We start from the raw sequence: 15,990 nt of genomic DNA on the forward strand, positions 1-15,990 counted from the left end.
TGTTTCTCTTGAGGGCACTAATACAGCTTCTTTAGGATCTTTCCGTTTAAAAGAGAAAAGGAGGATGGCAAGGAAAAGATTTTCCTTTGACATTTAGTTCACTTGGAGGACTGTATTTACTGAAACATTTCTATGGGCTTCATTTTATAAAGGCAACCATACACAATCTGTCCATGTCAGTAGACACATAACATCCACACCCCCAGGCAATTTAAGATTAGAAAGCTCAGATCTGGTTGGCCTCGGTGTGCTCATTTGACTCCATTTTTCTTTCCTCATCTGCAAGATATTCAACATTATTATGTCAATGGATTGATTGTATTGAGGAAGAAGAGGAGATGTCACTAAAGTTGGACATCACTACTTTTTTCCCGGTTTTTCAAAGGTTTGTAGCATGGAAACAAATCTCTCTAGACTAAACTACACAAGAAGCCAATCCCCTTCATATGAAAAACATTCCACTTGACAGGACAAATCCTTTGATTTTTTTGCAAGGAAATTTTATGAAAGAGCCTGGAAGCTTGTTTACAGAGACTAGAAAAGAATAAGCTCCGTGGAGAGCTCTTTCCTGAGACCTGAACACCCAACTGTCTGCTGGACATCATTTTCTTAGACACCCCCAAATTCAACATGTCTAAAACAGAACCTATTGTCTCTTCTCCCTACCCCTCCAACCCTGCTCCACTGAAGTTGCTATCTTATTGATGCCACCATCTTCCACCCAGGTGTCCAAGCTAGAAACCAAAGAATCCTCCGTGAGGCCTTTCTCTCGCATCCTCTCCGCTATCCAGTTAGTTACTAATTCCTGTTACTGCTGCTTCCTACATTTCTCAAATATTTATCCACTTCTCTTCATTTTCACTGCCTGCCCTCCCCTGGTGGCGGCTCTGAGCATCTCTCATCTGGATCACTGCACCAGCCTCTTAATGGGGGGCCCTACCTCCTGCCTTGCCCTCCATCTGTTCCCTACATGCAAGAGAGTGATCCTTCTAAAATGCAAATCTGAACCCATCAGTTTTCTGCTGAAGATCCTTCCATAGCTCCCTACTGGGAATAAAGGTCAAACAATGCTTAGAAAGAACTTCTTTGTTTGAACTGGTTTATCTCTTCAAAGTCTTGACTAACCACTCCTACCCTCTCCTACTCCATCCTTGAGCTGTGAAAACTTGTAGGTCCCAGATGAATCTGCCTTGCGGTCTGTCTCCTCTTGGCCTTTGCATATAGTAGCCTCACAGCATGGAACACTCTTTACTCTCACTCTTCGCCTAGAAAACTGCTACTGCCCCTTCAGATCTCAGCTTAGAAGCCTCTTTCCAACTTAGCTTACATGCTTCCATAGCACAGCCTGTATGTCCCATTTCAAAGCTCTTGCCTCACTTGGGAATGCAAATGTCTATTTACTCATTTGGTTGTATTCACTGCTAAAATATATGCTTCTTATATGACATGTTAGAAAAGGCAAAACTATAGTGACAGAAAGCAGATCAGTGGTTGCCAGTAGCTGGGGGGAGGGTAGGAGATTGACTACAAGCAGTGCAAGCAATCTTTTCAGGGTGATGTAAATATTCTCTATCTTGATCCTAGTAGTGGTTATACTACCCCGTGCATTTGTCAAAATGCATCAAACTTTACACTTAAAATGAGTGAATTTTATTGTATAGCAAGTATACCTCAATAAAGCTGGTTGTAAGAAAAATTAATATGTGATCCTCCAGGGCAGGTTTATACTTAGAACCATCCCTGGCTCATAGTAAGTGCCTACAATAGGTAATTGTTAAACCAATGAATGGATAAACAAATCAATATTATTTCCTTTCCCCTATTGTTTTGTACAATTGGAATAAATTATTTTTTTAAAGATGTGCTTAAAAAGTGTTCATTTATGACCTACCTTGTCATCCCAGCAGTGGAATCAAATTTCTTTCAGTGAAACATGTAAACGTAAGACCTGTGCATGTCTTATGGGAGAAAATGTTTCCAGGATGAACTCACTCAGAGGAGGAGACAGCATTACAGTGGCGCCAGACAGCTGCAGCTCTACTTGCCCTAGGCACGAAGAGGGTGAGAAACAAATGCTTCAGGGGACTGGCTAGCAGCAGTTCTGAGGCCTGCTGCCCTGAAGCTTCTTTTCTGCAGCTCCTGGCTGATCCGGGTTCTGGATGCATCATGTCTTGAAGGCACTGACAATATCCACTTCCTATTCCTTAGCTGCATATGTCTTCCTTCTCATGGACTAGGGTGAAGGCCTGGTGCTGATGCAGAGAGACTAACTAGAGACAAGTACCTGCTTTGGCCTGAGACATCTTTGACCAGAGGCACAGGATGTACTTGCTTAACGGTAACCTATACCAGGGTTAACCCTTGCCCAGCTGTTCCAGGTTAGGAGCCCTTTCTGCACTGACAGTCTCCTTCAAGAACAAAAGAATATTTTGAATTGGAAAAGATTAGCTTGCTCTTTCCTTCATTTTCAGTTGAGGAAACTGAGGTCAGAAAGGGTGAGAGACTTGGCTGGACTATGACGAGATCACTGGGACTGGAACCTTGTTTCTGCACTTGAGGGCCAGCTGCCAGCAGCCTCCCTGCACCACTCCCAGGTGGTTTGCTCGTCCCAACGCACTGCAGTGCGGGGAAGGAGTGTGCTCTCCTTCATAACCCAGCAGGGATTAACGCAGGCTACTTAGCTGAATTTAGAAAGTACTTGGTGAATCAATATAATGAATCTCAGAATTCACATTTTCTCTCAGATTTTACTATTGAACAAATGAAAAGAACAAAAAGTAAAAACAAATGGACTGATTTTTTAAAGATCACACAAGTCATCACCATTCCCAGCTAACTGATGGACTCCCTTGGAAGGTGACGGCTTCTCCCCCACCTGTCTAAGCACACAGAAAACACATCAAGTCCTCCGTGTGGCTCAGCACCACCTCTTTTCCTCTCACACACCTGGTGGAGACTGTTGAATGAATAAACAGACAACCTCATTTGTAAGTAGGTGGCTTGGAATCCAGAATGCATTTTCCAAAGGAAACGACGTCATAGGAGGGCTTGGGTTTCCTGGGCCTGCCCACAAAGCCTAATTAATCTATCACACTACTGAAAGGCTATATATTTTCAGTAGGAAATAAGGGGAAAAAGAAGTACAGTTACCATAATCATCATAAAATAAACATAAAAACCTGAACAAGAAATGCTTGCCTAGGGCAGATCTTATCCCCACTACCCAGCTCCACTCAGAAGATGGAGCAGAGCCTGTCTCTCTCTCTCTTAAATGAGTGATCATGCCTCAAAATTAGTGCCTTCATTTACTAATAGCCGAATCTCTCTCTGACAGCTGCTCAGATTAACCAGGCATATATTACTTTCATCTTTAATAAACAGGCACTCTAGAGTCGGTGGCTGGTCTCCATGGCAACCAGATTAAGTTTTTCCGCTGATGTTGGGGGCAAAAAGACAGAAGGAATAGACGCTAAGATGGCAGGGGAAGGTACATGTGGATTATAAAGTACTGTCCTCCATTTCTTTACTGGTCCCAGGCTACCTCCCAGCAAGAATGGAGAGTGGCTGTTTCTACCTTCTACTGCACACAGAGGAAAAGGGGTCCTGATCAGTGCTATCAGTACGATGGGAAAGGGCTGGGTTACAGAGCTTAGCGCACACCGAGGCCTGCACTGCCAAGGAGCTACATGCAATTGCATCCATCCAACTGAATTCTCATTTCCTGCGTGTGCCTGGCCCTGTGCTTCGTGCTGCGGAGGTGGTTTACAGTAAAAGCATGTAGACTAAGTGAGGAGAGGTGCCAACACGTATCATGGGGAGGGCAGGAGGAGGTCCAGCCCCTGCCTCCCCAACCAGGAGCAGCTGCAGCTCACAGCACCATTTGCCCTCAAGCTAAGCCACACCTAGTTCTTGAGCTCTGGCCAGAATGACTTTAGCCTTGCCAATCTAGCAGCTGGTCAGGCTGAATCAAGCGTTTTTTGATAGTTCATGGATGCAGCATCATCCACTGGGCCTCTAACACCTGGAGACCCACAGAATTCCTGCCTTCCCTCAGCCATGACTGGTGGATTGACTTGGCCTGCGTGACTGGGATCTGACTCACATTCCTGACCCAGGCTGGGGCCCTGACACCCTGCCTTTCTCTTGTCTGCATCTTACCTCAGGCACCTGAACCTAGTTTCATACCCCTAGGCAGGTTCCTGCTCTAAAGGAGTGGTCGCCCAGAACCACCCTGACAAAAGCTTTCATACTGTTTCAGCTACTGTTTGCTGCTGGAACTGCCTGCCTCTATGCCCCAGCAGGGGGACAGATTGCTGTGGGCCCTGAAGACTGGACCTTGGACCACTCGCACCCACTCAGGCCAAGGTCTGTCAACTTCTGGTACCAAATTCTTCCTCATCCCTACAAACCAGGGATGCCGCCAAAATACCAGAAATCCTTATTCCTGAGCCTGAGGTGGTATTTGAAATGGGTCTTGAAGGGTGGCCAGGATTTGGACAATAAAAGAGAAGACTTTCTCTGTCAGCACCAGGGTCCTTGATGAGAGTCATAGGGTGATGGTGTAATTCATTCAAATCTCTATTAGGTAACCCTAACCTCTGTCTGTTTTCATGGTGCTTTCCGCTGGACTCTCCATCCCTCTGCTGTGTCTCCTGCCTGCTCCCCCTCGGGTGCTTCCCTGTATTCCTTTTCTCCTGTACTTTTCCACTTGCACCCTACGTCAGTGTTTCCTGAGCTCACCTCTCCTTTTCCTACTCTCTGCTCTGATACTGAACACGGGGTGGCGGGGGGGTAGTGGGGAGGGGTGGGGAAAGCTGCTTGCTGTGCCCCAGGTAATTCTCTCATCCTCACTGCCAGCTTTAAGGGGAAATACTGGTCCCAGAAGACAAACCCTTCCTCCTGTCCGTTGGAAACAAGTAGGTTGATTTTTCCATCACAGGAGTGAAACAGCAAAGGCTGTTGGTTGTACCAGTGGATCCAGCGCCTACTAAGAGCTTACTACTCATTTCTATCCATTTAGTGTGGCATACTCCAGAAGATTCTCTTGCCCTTCCCTTGACCCAAAATACCTCCTCTACTGGTGCCTGAAAGCCTACCATTAACCTAGTCATTCCTTTGTGTTAATCATTACTTTTTCCTGATGGTCTTCCTTTGAACATAAAAGCACTCCCAGAAGGGAAAAGATTTGCTTCCTAATGCCTCTATGCAAACGAAGAATGGAGGGGAAAGTGCCGAAGGTTTCAAACCTTCCCAATGGGGTTGGAGTATAAATCTAATTTGACTGGGTGGAGAATTAACAAAATACATTGAAATTATAGAACTGCTGATGTTCATATAGTCATTTTTCCATTTTTTAATCTTCTTCATTTAACTAAAACATACATACAATAGTCTACAAATCTTAAATGTACAGCTTAATACATTTTACATATGTATATACTCATGTAACTACCACCTAGATTAAATATATTTCCAGTGCCCCTGCATCTCTTTCTGGTCAATATTACTCCAAAAATAACCACTTTTCTGACTTCTGTTACCCTAGAATAGTTTTGCCTATTCTTGAGCTTCATGTAAATGGAGCCATGTGGAGCCCAGACTTTTTGACTCAATATAATATTTTTGAGATTCATGCATGTTGTTGCACATATCAGTCATCTGTCCTTCTCTATTATTGCTTAGTATTCCATGGTATGTATTTACTACAATGTCTTAATCCATTTTTCTGTTGATAAACACTTGAGTTATTTCCAGTTTTGCAAAAAGCTGTTTCCTATTTTGAATAAATCTGTTGGAACATTCTTGTACAAGGTTTTGTGAACATATGCACTAATTTTTCTTGGACTATACCTAGCGGTGGGATTCTTGTTTCATAGAGTAGACATGTACATAACTTTTTTAAAAACCACCAAATAGATTTTCAAAGTGATTATATCCTTTTGCATTCCCACCAGCAAATGCGTGACAGTTGCAGTCACTCCACATTGGGTCAGTCTTTTCAATTTTAGCTATTCTGGCAGAGAAAATTTTGCAGTACTTTTGCTACGAGAGGTAAATTCCTGAGCTGGGGCTCATCGGCAGGAGAATAGAGGCCTCCTATCCATGACAGATGTGGAAGTAGAATTCTGATGAGTTTTTGTTTTGTTTCATCTTAATAACGAGAAACTGTGGGGCTAGAAAGCTAGAGAAATATGTTTTATCTTGTATCAGTACCAACTAAAAGAAAGCCAATTCTGGGGGTGGTGGGAGGGTGTCACCAGTGGAGAAAAGGGCTAATTTAGGCTAATTCTAGGATAATACTCCCAGTAGGGTGTTAAGACAATACTGCAGGCCCATGTCTGATGATCCAGTCAGAAAGGGAGCTCAGACCAGGATGCTTGGTTGCCAGTAATAGAGACTAGCTTGAGCTATTAGGTTGGTGCAAAAGTAATTGTGGGTTTTGCCATTAGAAGTAATGCCATTCCTTCTAATGGCAAAACTCGAAATTACTTTTGCTCCAACCTGATAGCATGATCAAGTGGGAACGTATGAAAGGATATTTGTGTACCCACAGAATTGACAGAGTTGAGAGCCTGGCCTAGAGATAAGCAGGAACTGAGGAGGATCCAGAAGGCCAGGAGCAGGCAGCTCAGTCGATCAGTGTGCTTCCCTGATAACTGTTCCTGTCATCCTTGTGTCACCTGTTCGAGGTTCAAAGATCCAGAAGTGTTTATCAGATTTGGTTGAGCTTAGGCCGCATGCCCACCCTCAGGGCTGGAGGAAGCAGAATCTGGCCACTTCACAATCTTCCATGGTGGGGAGCAGGTGCCTGGATTTATACCCCATTAAGGCTGCATCCATGGGAATAAGTAATTCCCCAAAAGAAATGAGATGCCATCAGGAAGGAGGAATGGATGTTGAGTAGCCAAAGAAATGCCACATGTTCACTACAGGCCTGCCTTCAACAGCATCAAATTCACACTATCGTGTTAATAGCTTTGGGAGGATGAAAGGAAACTGGCCTGGACCTATAGGGTGAGCAAGGAAAGAGAATTTGACATCAACAATAAAGGCCTAGCCAATTTGCTCACCGCTTCTCAAATGGACTTGAATAAGATGACACTGCGTGACACAAAATTTCTTCTTTTTTTTAAAATTTTTTTTAGATGGAGTCTCACTCTGTCACGCCCAGGCTGGAGTGCAGTGGCACGATCTCGGCTCCCTGCAACCTCTCTGCCTCCTGGGTTCAAGTGATTCTCTTGCCTCAGCCTCCCGAGTAGCTGGGACTACAGGCACGTGCCACCACGCCCGGCTAATTTTTGTATCTTTTTAGCAGAGACGGGGTTTCACCATGTTGGCCAGGATGGTCTTAATCTCCTGACCTTGTGACCCACCTGCTTCGGCCTCTCAAAGTGCTGGGATTACAGGTGTGAGCCACCACACCTGGTCACACAAAATTTCTCAATTTGTCATTTTTGGCATATCTGAATCACTCTAGGATCCCCTTGCAGTGTGGTACAACCTGTGTGAGGGGATCCTGGGTGGAGGTGGTGGGAGGTGGAGACTGTGGAACGGGGTGAAGATCACAGCCCAGGTATGGCACTCTTTTTCAGGTGTGAGCTTCTAAAGGCCTAAGCAAACGTCTGAGACTTGAGGACAAAAATTATGGGTTTCAAAATACATAAATCAAAATACCCATGATCTCAGCACTTTGGGAGGCTGAGGCAGGAGGATCACTTGGGGCCAGGAATTCAAGACCAGCCCAGGCAACATAGTGAAACCTCATCTCTACAAAAAACTTTAAAAATAGCCAAGGGTAGGCTGGGCGCGGTAGCTCACACCTGTAATCCCAGCACTTTGGGAGGCCGAGGCTGGCAGATCACCTGAGGTCAGGAGTTCAAGACCAGCCTGACGAACATGGAGAAACCCCTGTCTCTACTAAAAAAAAAAAAAAAAAAAAAAAAAAAAAATTAGCCAGGCATGGTGGCGCATGTCTGTAATCCCAGCTACTTGGGAGGCTAAGGCAGGAGAATCACTTGAACCCGGGAGGCAGAGGTTGCAGTGAGCCGAGATCGCACCATTGCACTCCAGCCTGGGCAACAAGAACGAAAAAAAGAAAAAAAAATAGCCAAGGGTGGTGGCACATACCTGTATTCCCAGCTACTTGGGAGGCTGAAATAGAATAGCTTGAGCCCACGAGGCCAAGGCTGCGGTGAGCCATGATGGTGCCACTGCACTGCAGCCTGGGCAACAAAGCAAGACTCCATCTCTCAAAAAAAAAAAAAAAAAAAAGATAAGAGAAAAGAAAATAGCAAATTCTAACTTTTAAAGTGCTCCATTCAGCATTTAGGCAACCTTTCCCACTCTTAGGTGGCACTCCTACCTCAGCTCAGAGTTTCTCAGCCTCCAGCCCATTATGCATTGTTCCAAATGACAAAGCCACCAGAAAAAAAGAGACAGCACAGGCTCAAGGGACCCAGTTCTCCACAACAGGTTGCCACATCTTGATCTGCATCTGAAGCAAAGACTCAAAGTCTACTCTAGAAAAGAAAAAAAATAGCAAAAACCTTAACCACATGGTTCAGACATCTAGTTTTTGGATCCATTATTTACCCGGAAGAGTATTTCCATTGTTCAATGGAAATAACTCAACATAGCTTTATATCTAGAAAAATTATGAAAATGTCTGAGTTACCCGGTATTGGGTCAGCCTGGACTTCTGGAGCATGCATTTTTCTACAAAGGAAAGAAAACTGGTCTGGTTATCAGAAGACCTAAGTATAATCCAGGCTTTGTCATGAACTCATTACATGACCTTAGGAAAATCACAACCTTTATTCTTCAATTTCCTCTTCTATAAAATGAAGGCAATTGACTAAATGGGCACTGAAGTTTGTTCCAGTTCCATGATCACTTAAATTCTTAAATAAAAGAAGAAAGAAACCACGTTAGTCTCTCTGACACATCTCCCCTAAGGCACTGCAGAAGACCAAACACAAAATAAAAAGTATTTCAATCCAAAAAACCATGCTCAATCTCCAAGTCTCTGCAGCCTGTGATTAGTAGAATCTATCTTGCCATAATTGAGCAAAGTAGTTCTAGGAAAAAATTATACCGAATTTTACTAAATGTGCTTTCATTTGAAACCAGAGCCTTCCTTGGTTAGCCAGACCACTAGGACTGACATACTGTACCGATTACATAATGTGAGCACCATCAATATCCTTCCATTTTAGGAGAATTGGCTTTTTAGCCATCAGTCTAGAGCCCGCTATAATTTATTTTCTTTGTGGTAAGCGGATAACATGTCTACATTAGTTAAATTACTTTAATACGTGGTTGCTTTAGGCTCAAAAATTCTGACCACTCTTTTCAAGGAAACATCAACCCACGACATGTGGACTAAATCTCCATTTTTATTTCTTTGTTCATTTTTGTTTTTTCCAAATGACTTCATTTTTGTTGTGAATGCTAAATCAACTTAAATTTTGGATCTTACTAAATACTCTGATATTTGTGCTTGTCTTTTAACCAAATACGTTGCATCCTTTTGCACCCCACCACTAGGCAACACAACTGTGATCAACTATAAATTGCTGGATGGTGAGTTCTTTATTCTGTCCACAGCAAGGTAAATGACTTCCTTGCCTAACCAACTTCTCAGGCAATAATAATCTGAACTCCTCTCACTCTCCGTCCTTCTCAGAGGAAGCCAACACAAGTCATACAAGTCATGCTGCTGATCCACGTGAATGTAATTTGAGCAGTTTCAAAATGTGTAAACATATTATTAGCAATGTGTTTAAACAGCACCTTTCCCTTTGGTGTTCATAATCCTTTAAGGTTATAATGTAATACTCCTTCCAGCATCACTTGAAAATATATACAGCACAGCAAGAATTATATTTTTCAAGAAATGTGATGGTTATGAATAAATAAAAATGATTTCTCATGTCTCACAAGCATTTTTATTTATTTATAGGATCTATGTATCCCTTGCTTCTTTCAAAAAGAATTTGAAGCAACTTACAAACTAATATGTATAGCCCAATTCTAATAAAATAAGAATAAAACCAGGATGGGAAGTAGAAAAGCTCTTCCCAAACACGACAGGAAGACTTAAAGGAAAATGTGACAGATGTGATTACACAGAAATCTAACAGTTCTGTGTTGCAAAGATCAAGCAGCAGAACAACAGATAAAGGGTAATACCCACAACTGTGTAAAACTGCCTGTAAAATGGTTATGGTTGGCCATAGAAGGCCAACCACTCAAATGTTTTGTGCGGAGAACATGATGATTAGGTCCAGAAGAAATACAAATAGCGAAAAGTCTTATAGAAAAAAAGGTGTAATTCTAGCTCCTACGGAAGGAGTTTCTTTTCTTTCTTTCTTTCTCTCTCGGTCTCTCTCTCTCTCTCTCTTTCTTTTACAAGTCTCGCTCTGTTGTCCAGGCTGGATAGAGTGCAGTGGCGCGATCTCGGCTCACTGAAGCCTCTGCCTCCCAGCTTCAAGTGATTCTCCCGCCTCAACCTCTCAAGTAGCTGGGACTACAGGCGTGCACCACTACGCCCAGCTAGTTGAGATGGGATTTCCCCGTGTTGGTCAAGCTGGTCTCTTAACTCCTGATCTCATGTGATCCGCCCACCTTGGCCTCCCAAAGTGCTGGGATTACAGACGTGAGCCACCACACCCGGCCAGGAGTTTCAAATTAAAACAAGATGACAGTTTTCACTCAGCTGAGTGGCAAAAAATAATAAATAAATAAATATAAAAATAAAAAGAGCAGTAGCATGTAGTTTTATATGAATCTTTTGGTTGTTTAAAAATTTTTTAGTGCAAATGATGCTGCAATGAACATCCTCGTACATATATTTCTTAGCAAATACATAAATATTTCTATAAAATAGGTTTCTAACAGCAAAATTGAATTAAACTTTATATGCAATTTAAAAATTGATACAAACTGCCAGGTTTTTTTGTTGTTGTTGTTTTATTTTTTAGAGAGGGTCTCACTTTGTCACCCAGGCTGAAGTGCTGTGGCACCATCACGGCTCACAACATCCTCGACTTCCTGGGCTCAAGCAATCTTCCCACTGCTCCCCACCCTCCACACTGCCATGCCTGAGTAGCTGGGACTATAGGGGGGTGCCACCATGCCTGGCTAAAAATTTTTTTTATAGAGACAATGTCTCAATGCATTGCCCAGGCTGGTCTCAAACTTCTGGGCTTGAGCGACCCTCTTGCCTTGGCCTCCTAAACGAAAGACGTGAGCCACCATGCCTGGCTTAATACTGCCAATTTACTTTCCTAAAATATTGCCCTACATTATAGTTACATCTGCAGAATATGCGTATGACCATTTTCCCCTAAACATGCAATTACTATACATCCCAGTAATTGTACCCTTGGGCAATTATCCCAGGGGAAAAAAAAAACAACAACTTATGTTCACATAAAAACTATACATAAATATTCATAGCAACTTTATTTATAATGGCCAAAGATTGAAAACAATCCAGATGTTCTTGAATGCTGGTTAAACAAACTGTGGTATATCCAAATCGTGGAATACTACTTAGCAATAAAAAGGTGATACACATACCAACTTGGATGAATCCCCAAGAAGTTATGCTGACTGAAAAGAGCAATCCCAAAAGGCTACAAACCAAATCAAACTAAATGATTCCATTTATATAGTTGTTTTTTTTTTTTGAGACAGATCCTCACTCTGTTGCCCAGGCGGGAGTGCAGTGGCATGATCTTGGCTCCCTGCAACCTCTGCCTCCCAGGTTCAAGCGATTATTGTGCCTCAGTCTCCCAAGTATCTGGGATTACAGGTACACACCACCATGCCTGGCTAATTTTTGTAGTTTTAATAGAGATGGGGTTTCACCATGTTGGCCAGGCTGGTCTCAAACTCCTGGCCTCAAGTGATCCACACGCCTCAGCCTCCCAAAGTGTTGGGATTATGGGCATGAGCCACCATGCCTGGCCCCATTTATATAACATTTCTGAAATGACCAAAGTACACAAATGGAGAACAGATGAGTGGTTGTCAGGGGTTAGAGATGTGGGGAAGGGGCAAGACGGAAGAGGGTGTGGCCATAAAAGGATAACAGGACAAATTCTCCTGGTGATGGAACTGCTCTGTATCTTGACTATGATGGTCGATACATGAACCCACACTCAGGATACAATTGGATAGAACTAACACACAAATAAGTACAGAGAAAACTGGGAAAGTTTGAAGAAGATTGATGGATTGTATCAATGTCAATATCCTAGTTTTGGTATTGTACCATAATTTTGCAAGATATTACCATGGGAGAAAATTGGTAAAGGGAACAGGGGATCTCTGTGCAACATTTTTTAAAAATACGTATAAGGGTCTCTCTACATTGCCTAGGCTGGATTCAAACTCTTGGTCTCAAGCAATTGTCCTACATCATTAGGACTACAGGTACACATCATCATACAGTGCTAATCGTTTCTTACAACTGCATGTGATCCTACCATTGCCTCAAAGTAAAAAGTTTAAGAAACATATATAAGGTGGATCTATATAACATACTATGAGGTCTATGATATACTGTTGCATGAGAAAAACATCTCACAAAAAAATAGGAGCAGAGTGTGATTATATTTGTAATAAACAAAGCCCTATATCAGATTGTATGTGAGCAAATAAATAGAAAATGGTGGTTATCTCTGGAGAAGAGAAAGGGAAAAGAAACTTAGTTTTTGCTCTATATTATTCTGTATTGTTGCAATGGTTTACAACAACATGTCTTTCTATCATGATTTCTAAAAATGTTTTCATTTTAAGGATAAACGAAATATGCCAATAATGGTTGATTACAAATCTCTCTAGATTATGGGATAATGAGCAGTGTCTCAAGCGAGCTGGGATCAGGGAGAGGCAAGTTTCTGTAAAGACAGCAGAAGGCTGTAGACAGGGGAGTGGAATCTGCGGCAGAACAGGGCTCTCAGGAAAGTATCCTATGAAGAGTTTGAGGAAGGTATATCAAGGGTTGAAGGTAAGAGGGAAGCTGGAAAGGTATGCTTTTTGGGCTATCTAATGGCGACAAAAATACAATATTGCTTCGATTTTCTTTTGGGAGTGGAGGCAGAGAAGTGGTGGCTAGTATCTGGGGCTTTCTTTTGGTCCTTCCTACCATAATAGTCCTCACGGAACCAACATGGGGGTTCAGACAGTTACTGAGTATGTCTCCTTACACTATACAATCTAGGACAGAGGCCAGGCGTGGTGGTTCATATCTGTAATCCCCGCACTTAGGAGGCCAAGGCAGGAGGATCCCTTGAGTCCAGGAGTTCGAGACCAGTGTGAGCAATATAGTAAGACCTTGTTTCTACAAAAAATAAAAAATTAGCCAGGCATGGTGGTGCACACCTGTAGTCTCAGCTACTCGGGAGGCTGAGGTGGGAGGCTCCCTTGAGCCCAGAGTTTGAGGCTACAGTGAGCTATGATTACACCAATGCCCTTCAGCCTGAGTGACACAGAAAGACCCTGTCTCAAAAAAAAAAAAAAAAAAAATCTATGGCAGGAAATTACGTGGGCGGTTTCACTGAAGTTATACAATTTCAACACAAATAACCATAGGCCATCATTGACTCCAGGCTTTGAGCCAATCTAGCAGACTAAAAACACAACTTCCTGGTGCTTGAGCAACTTGTGAATCCTAGATGATGTCCCATGTCCATAAACTTAGCCTGACAGAGCCTTACATAGTTTCCCCCTTGTTCTAACACCCCCAGAAACCTCCCCATTACATGTACTCCTCTGGCTCCCATTTGTCAAGATCTTGTAACTCTTTCAGTGGATAGTCTCTATCACTCTGGAGCAGGTCTTATATATCTCTTTTTGTGGGCTATGTTGGAATCTAATTCTTGTTATAGAACCAGAGGCAAAAAGAAGAGAGGGAGTGGGTCTGAGACTAGGCATCACTTCCTGAGGCAACGGTTCCAGGTGTAGTCACTGAAAAGTATTTTTTTCCAGAAAGAGGTCTTCGGGAAATTTAGGTTTCAAAGTTCTCACCCTCATCTATGTCCCACTAGTGCGTTTCATTAGCACTAGAGACCTGGCAAGGTTGAACCTTTAATTACTGCAGAAATTCTGCAAACCTTGCAATGAGGCCCAGGGCTTGACTGTGAAGTGCAACACCAATAGATTGCTGCGATCCCCTCAAGGTTTCCACAGAGGCTTGACTCTACACACAAGTATTCTTCAATATATAGCTATAGCTCTTAATTTATCTTTTTGTCTATATATGCTCTCCATAACTATAAGACATAGCCAGCTGGCTCCATAATCTTTAAAATCACTACTTTTGACAGAACAATGAAGTGTCACTGCTATGGTTTGAATGTCCCCTCCAAAACTCATGTTGTAATTTAATTGCCATTGTGACAGTATTAAGAGGTGAGACTTTTAAGAGGTAATTAGATCATGAGGGCCCCAACCTAATGAATGGATTAATGCAGTTATCACAGAAGTGGGTTAGTTATCTTGAAAATTTGGTTTCTTCTCCTGCCCTCTCTTGGGTGCCCTCTAATGCCTTCCAATTTGTTATGACACAGAAAGAAGGCCTTCATCAGATGCAGCCCTTTCAATCTTGGACTTCCCAGCCTCCAGAACCATGAGCCAGATAAACTTCTATTCTTCTTTTTTTTTTTTTTTTTGAGATGGAGTCTCGTTCTGTCGCCCAGGCTGGAGTGCAGTGGCGTGATCTTATCTCACTGCAAGCTCCGCCTCCCGAGTTCATGCCATTCTCCTGCCTCAGCCTCCCAAGTAGCTGGGACTACAGGCGCCCGCCACCACACCCGACTAATTTTTTGTATTTTTTAGTAGAGACGGGGTTTCACGGTGTTAGCCAGGATGGTCTCAATCTCCTGACCTTGTGATCCGTCCACCTCGGCCTCCCAAAGTGCGGGGATTACAGGCGTGAGCCACTGCGCCCGGCCACTTCTATTCTTTTTAAATTACCTAGTCTGTGGTGTTCTGTTACGATAGCAAAAGATGAACAAAAACAGCCACAGTCACTTCATCTCCCAGTGTCTTGTTATGATATTATGATACAGATGTTGGTTTTCATCCATAGTTCCTGGCTCCTAACTCCCATAGTCCTTTTATAATGTTGGGGCACTTTAGACCTCAGGAAACAGAATCTCTCTCTCTGACCTTCTCCTCTCCTTCTTTCACCTGCCCAAGGCAGGACTGTAATCTGATTGTGGGTCAAAAAACCTTCATTCCAGAGAGAGTCCTGCCCCATACCCTAGAGGAAGGAATGGTACACAGAGAGGCCAAGTAAAGTCTAAACAGATGGGCTTTGTGGGGTTTAGATAATGCACTTTTTGTCCAATCACATTTCTACACAGTTGTCAATCATGCCTACGTAATGAAGCCTCCATAACAACCCGAGAGGACAGAGTTTGGAGAGCTTCCAGATAGCTGAACACATTAAGGTTCCTGGAAGGCAGTGTGCCCAGGGAGGGCGTAGAAGCTCCATGTCCCTTCCCTCATACCTTGCCCTACACATCTCCTCATCTGCATCCTTTATAATATCCTTTGTAATAAACTGGTAAGTGTGTTGTTTCCCTGAGTTCTGTGAGCCATTCCAGCAAATTAATGGAAACCAAAGGGGGGTTCTTGGGAATCTCAACTTGAAGCCAGTTATTCAGAAGTTTTGGAGGTCAGGACTTGTGGCCAGTATGTGGGGAGATGGGAGGGAAGTTGCAGTCTTGGGGACTGAGCCCTCAACCTGTGGGATCTGACACTATTTCCAGGTAGTGTCAGATTTAACTGGAAGACACCCAGCTGCTGTCTACTACTGATATGTGAGGAACCCATCCCCTCCCACATTTGGTCACAGAAGTCTTCTTCTGTACTGATTGTTGTGTTGTGGTGAGAGAGCAGAGGAAAAACCCAGCTTGATGGTTTTCTGAAATACTTGCCCTCCCTTTACTCTCCATCCATGCTATGACCACTGAT

At 43.1% G+C, this 15,990-nt stretch overlaps 1 long non-coding RNA gene across 3 annotated transcripts in view, besides 1 other annotated feature; it reads right to left on the minus strand.

The window, feature by feature from the left end:
• Nucleotides 1–15,990, minus strand: part of LINC02532 (long intergenic non-protein coding RNA 2532) — a 70,090-nt gene that overhangs the window by 30,291 nt on the left and 23,809 nt on the right. The window contains exons 2-3 of one of the 3 annotated variants that reach the window (NR_147986.1): nucleotides 8,363–8,519; nucleotides 1,892–2,046 (exon numbers count right to left, since the gene is read on the minus strand). The exons of 1 other annotated variant lie outside the window; for it this stretch is intronic. This is a non-coding gene — a long non-coding RNA (long intergenic non-protein coding RNA 2532). The remainder of the gene's footprint in view (nucleotides 1–1,891; nucleotides 2,047–8,362; nucleotides 8,520–15,990) is intronic. One more of the 3 variants, NR_147987.1, reaches the window with a different exon arrangement.
• Nucleotides 605–1,530: an enhancer, noted in NCBI's record as "OCT4-NANOG hESC enhancer chr6:107196222-107197147 (GRCh37/hg19 assembly coordinates)". NCBI's record gives its function as "activates a minimal SCP1, AML or CMV promoter by ChIP-STARR-seq in naive and primed H9 embryonic stem cells {active_cell/tissue: H9 hESC(naive and primed)}" and the evidence as "EXISTENCE:reporter gene assay evidence [ECO:0000049][PMID:30033119]".

The sequence above is a fragment of the Homo sapiens genome, chromosome 6, assembly GCF_000001405.40.
Source record: "Homo sapiens chromosome 6, GRCh38.p14 Primary Assembly".
NCBI lineage: Eukaryota > Metazoa > Chordata > Mammalia > Primates > Hominidae > Homo > Homo sapiens.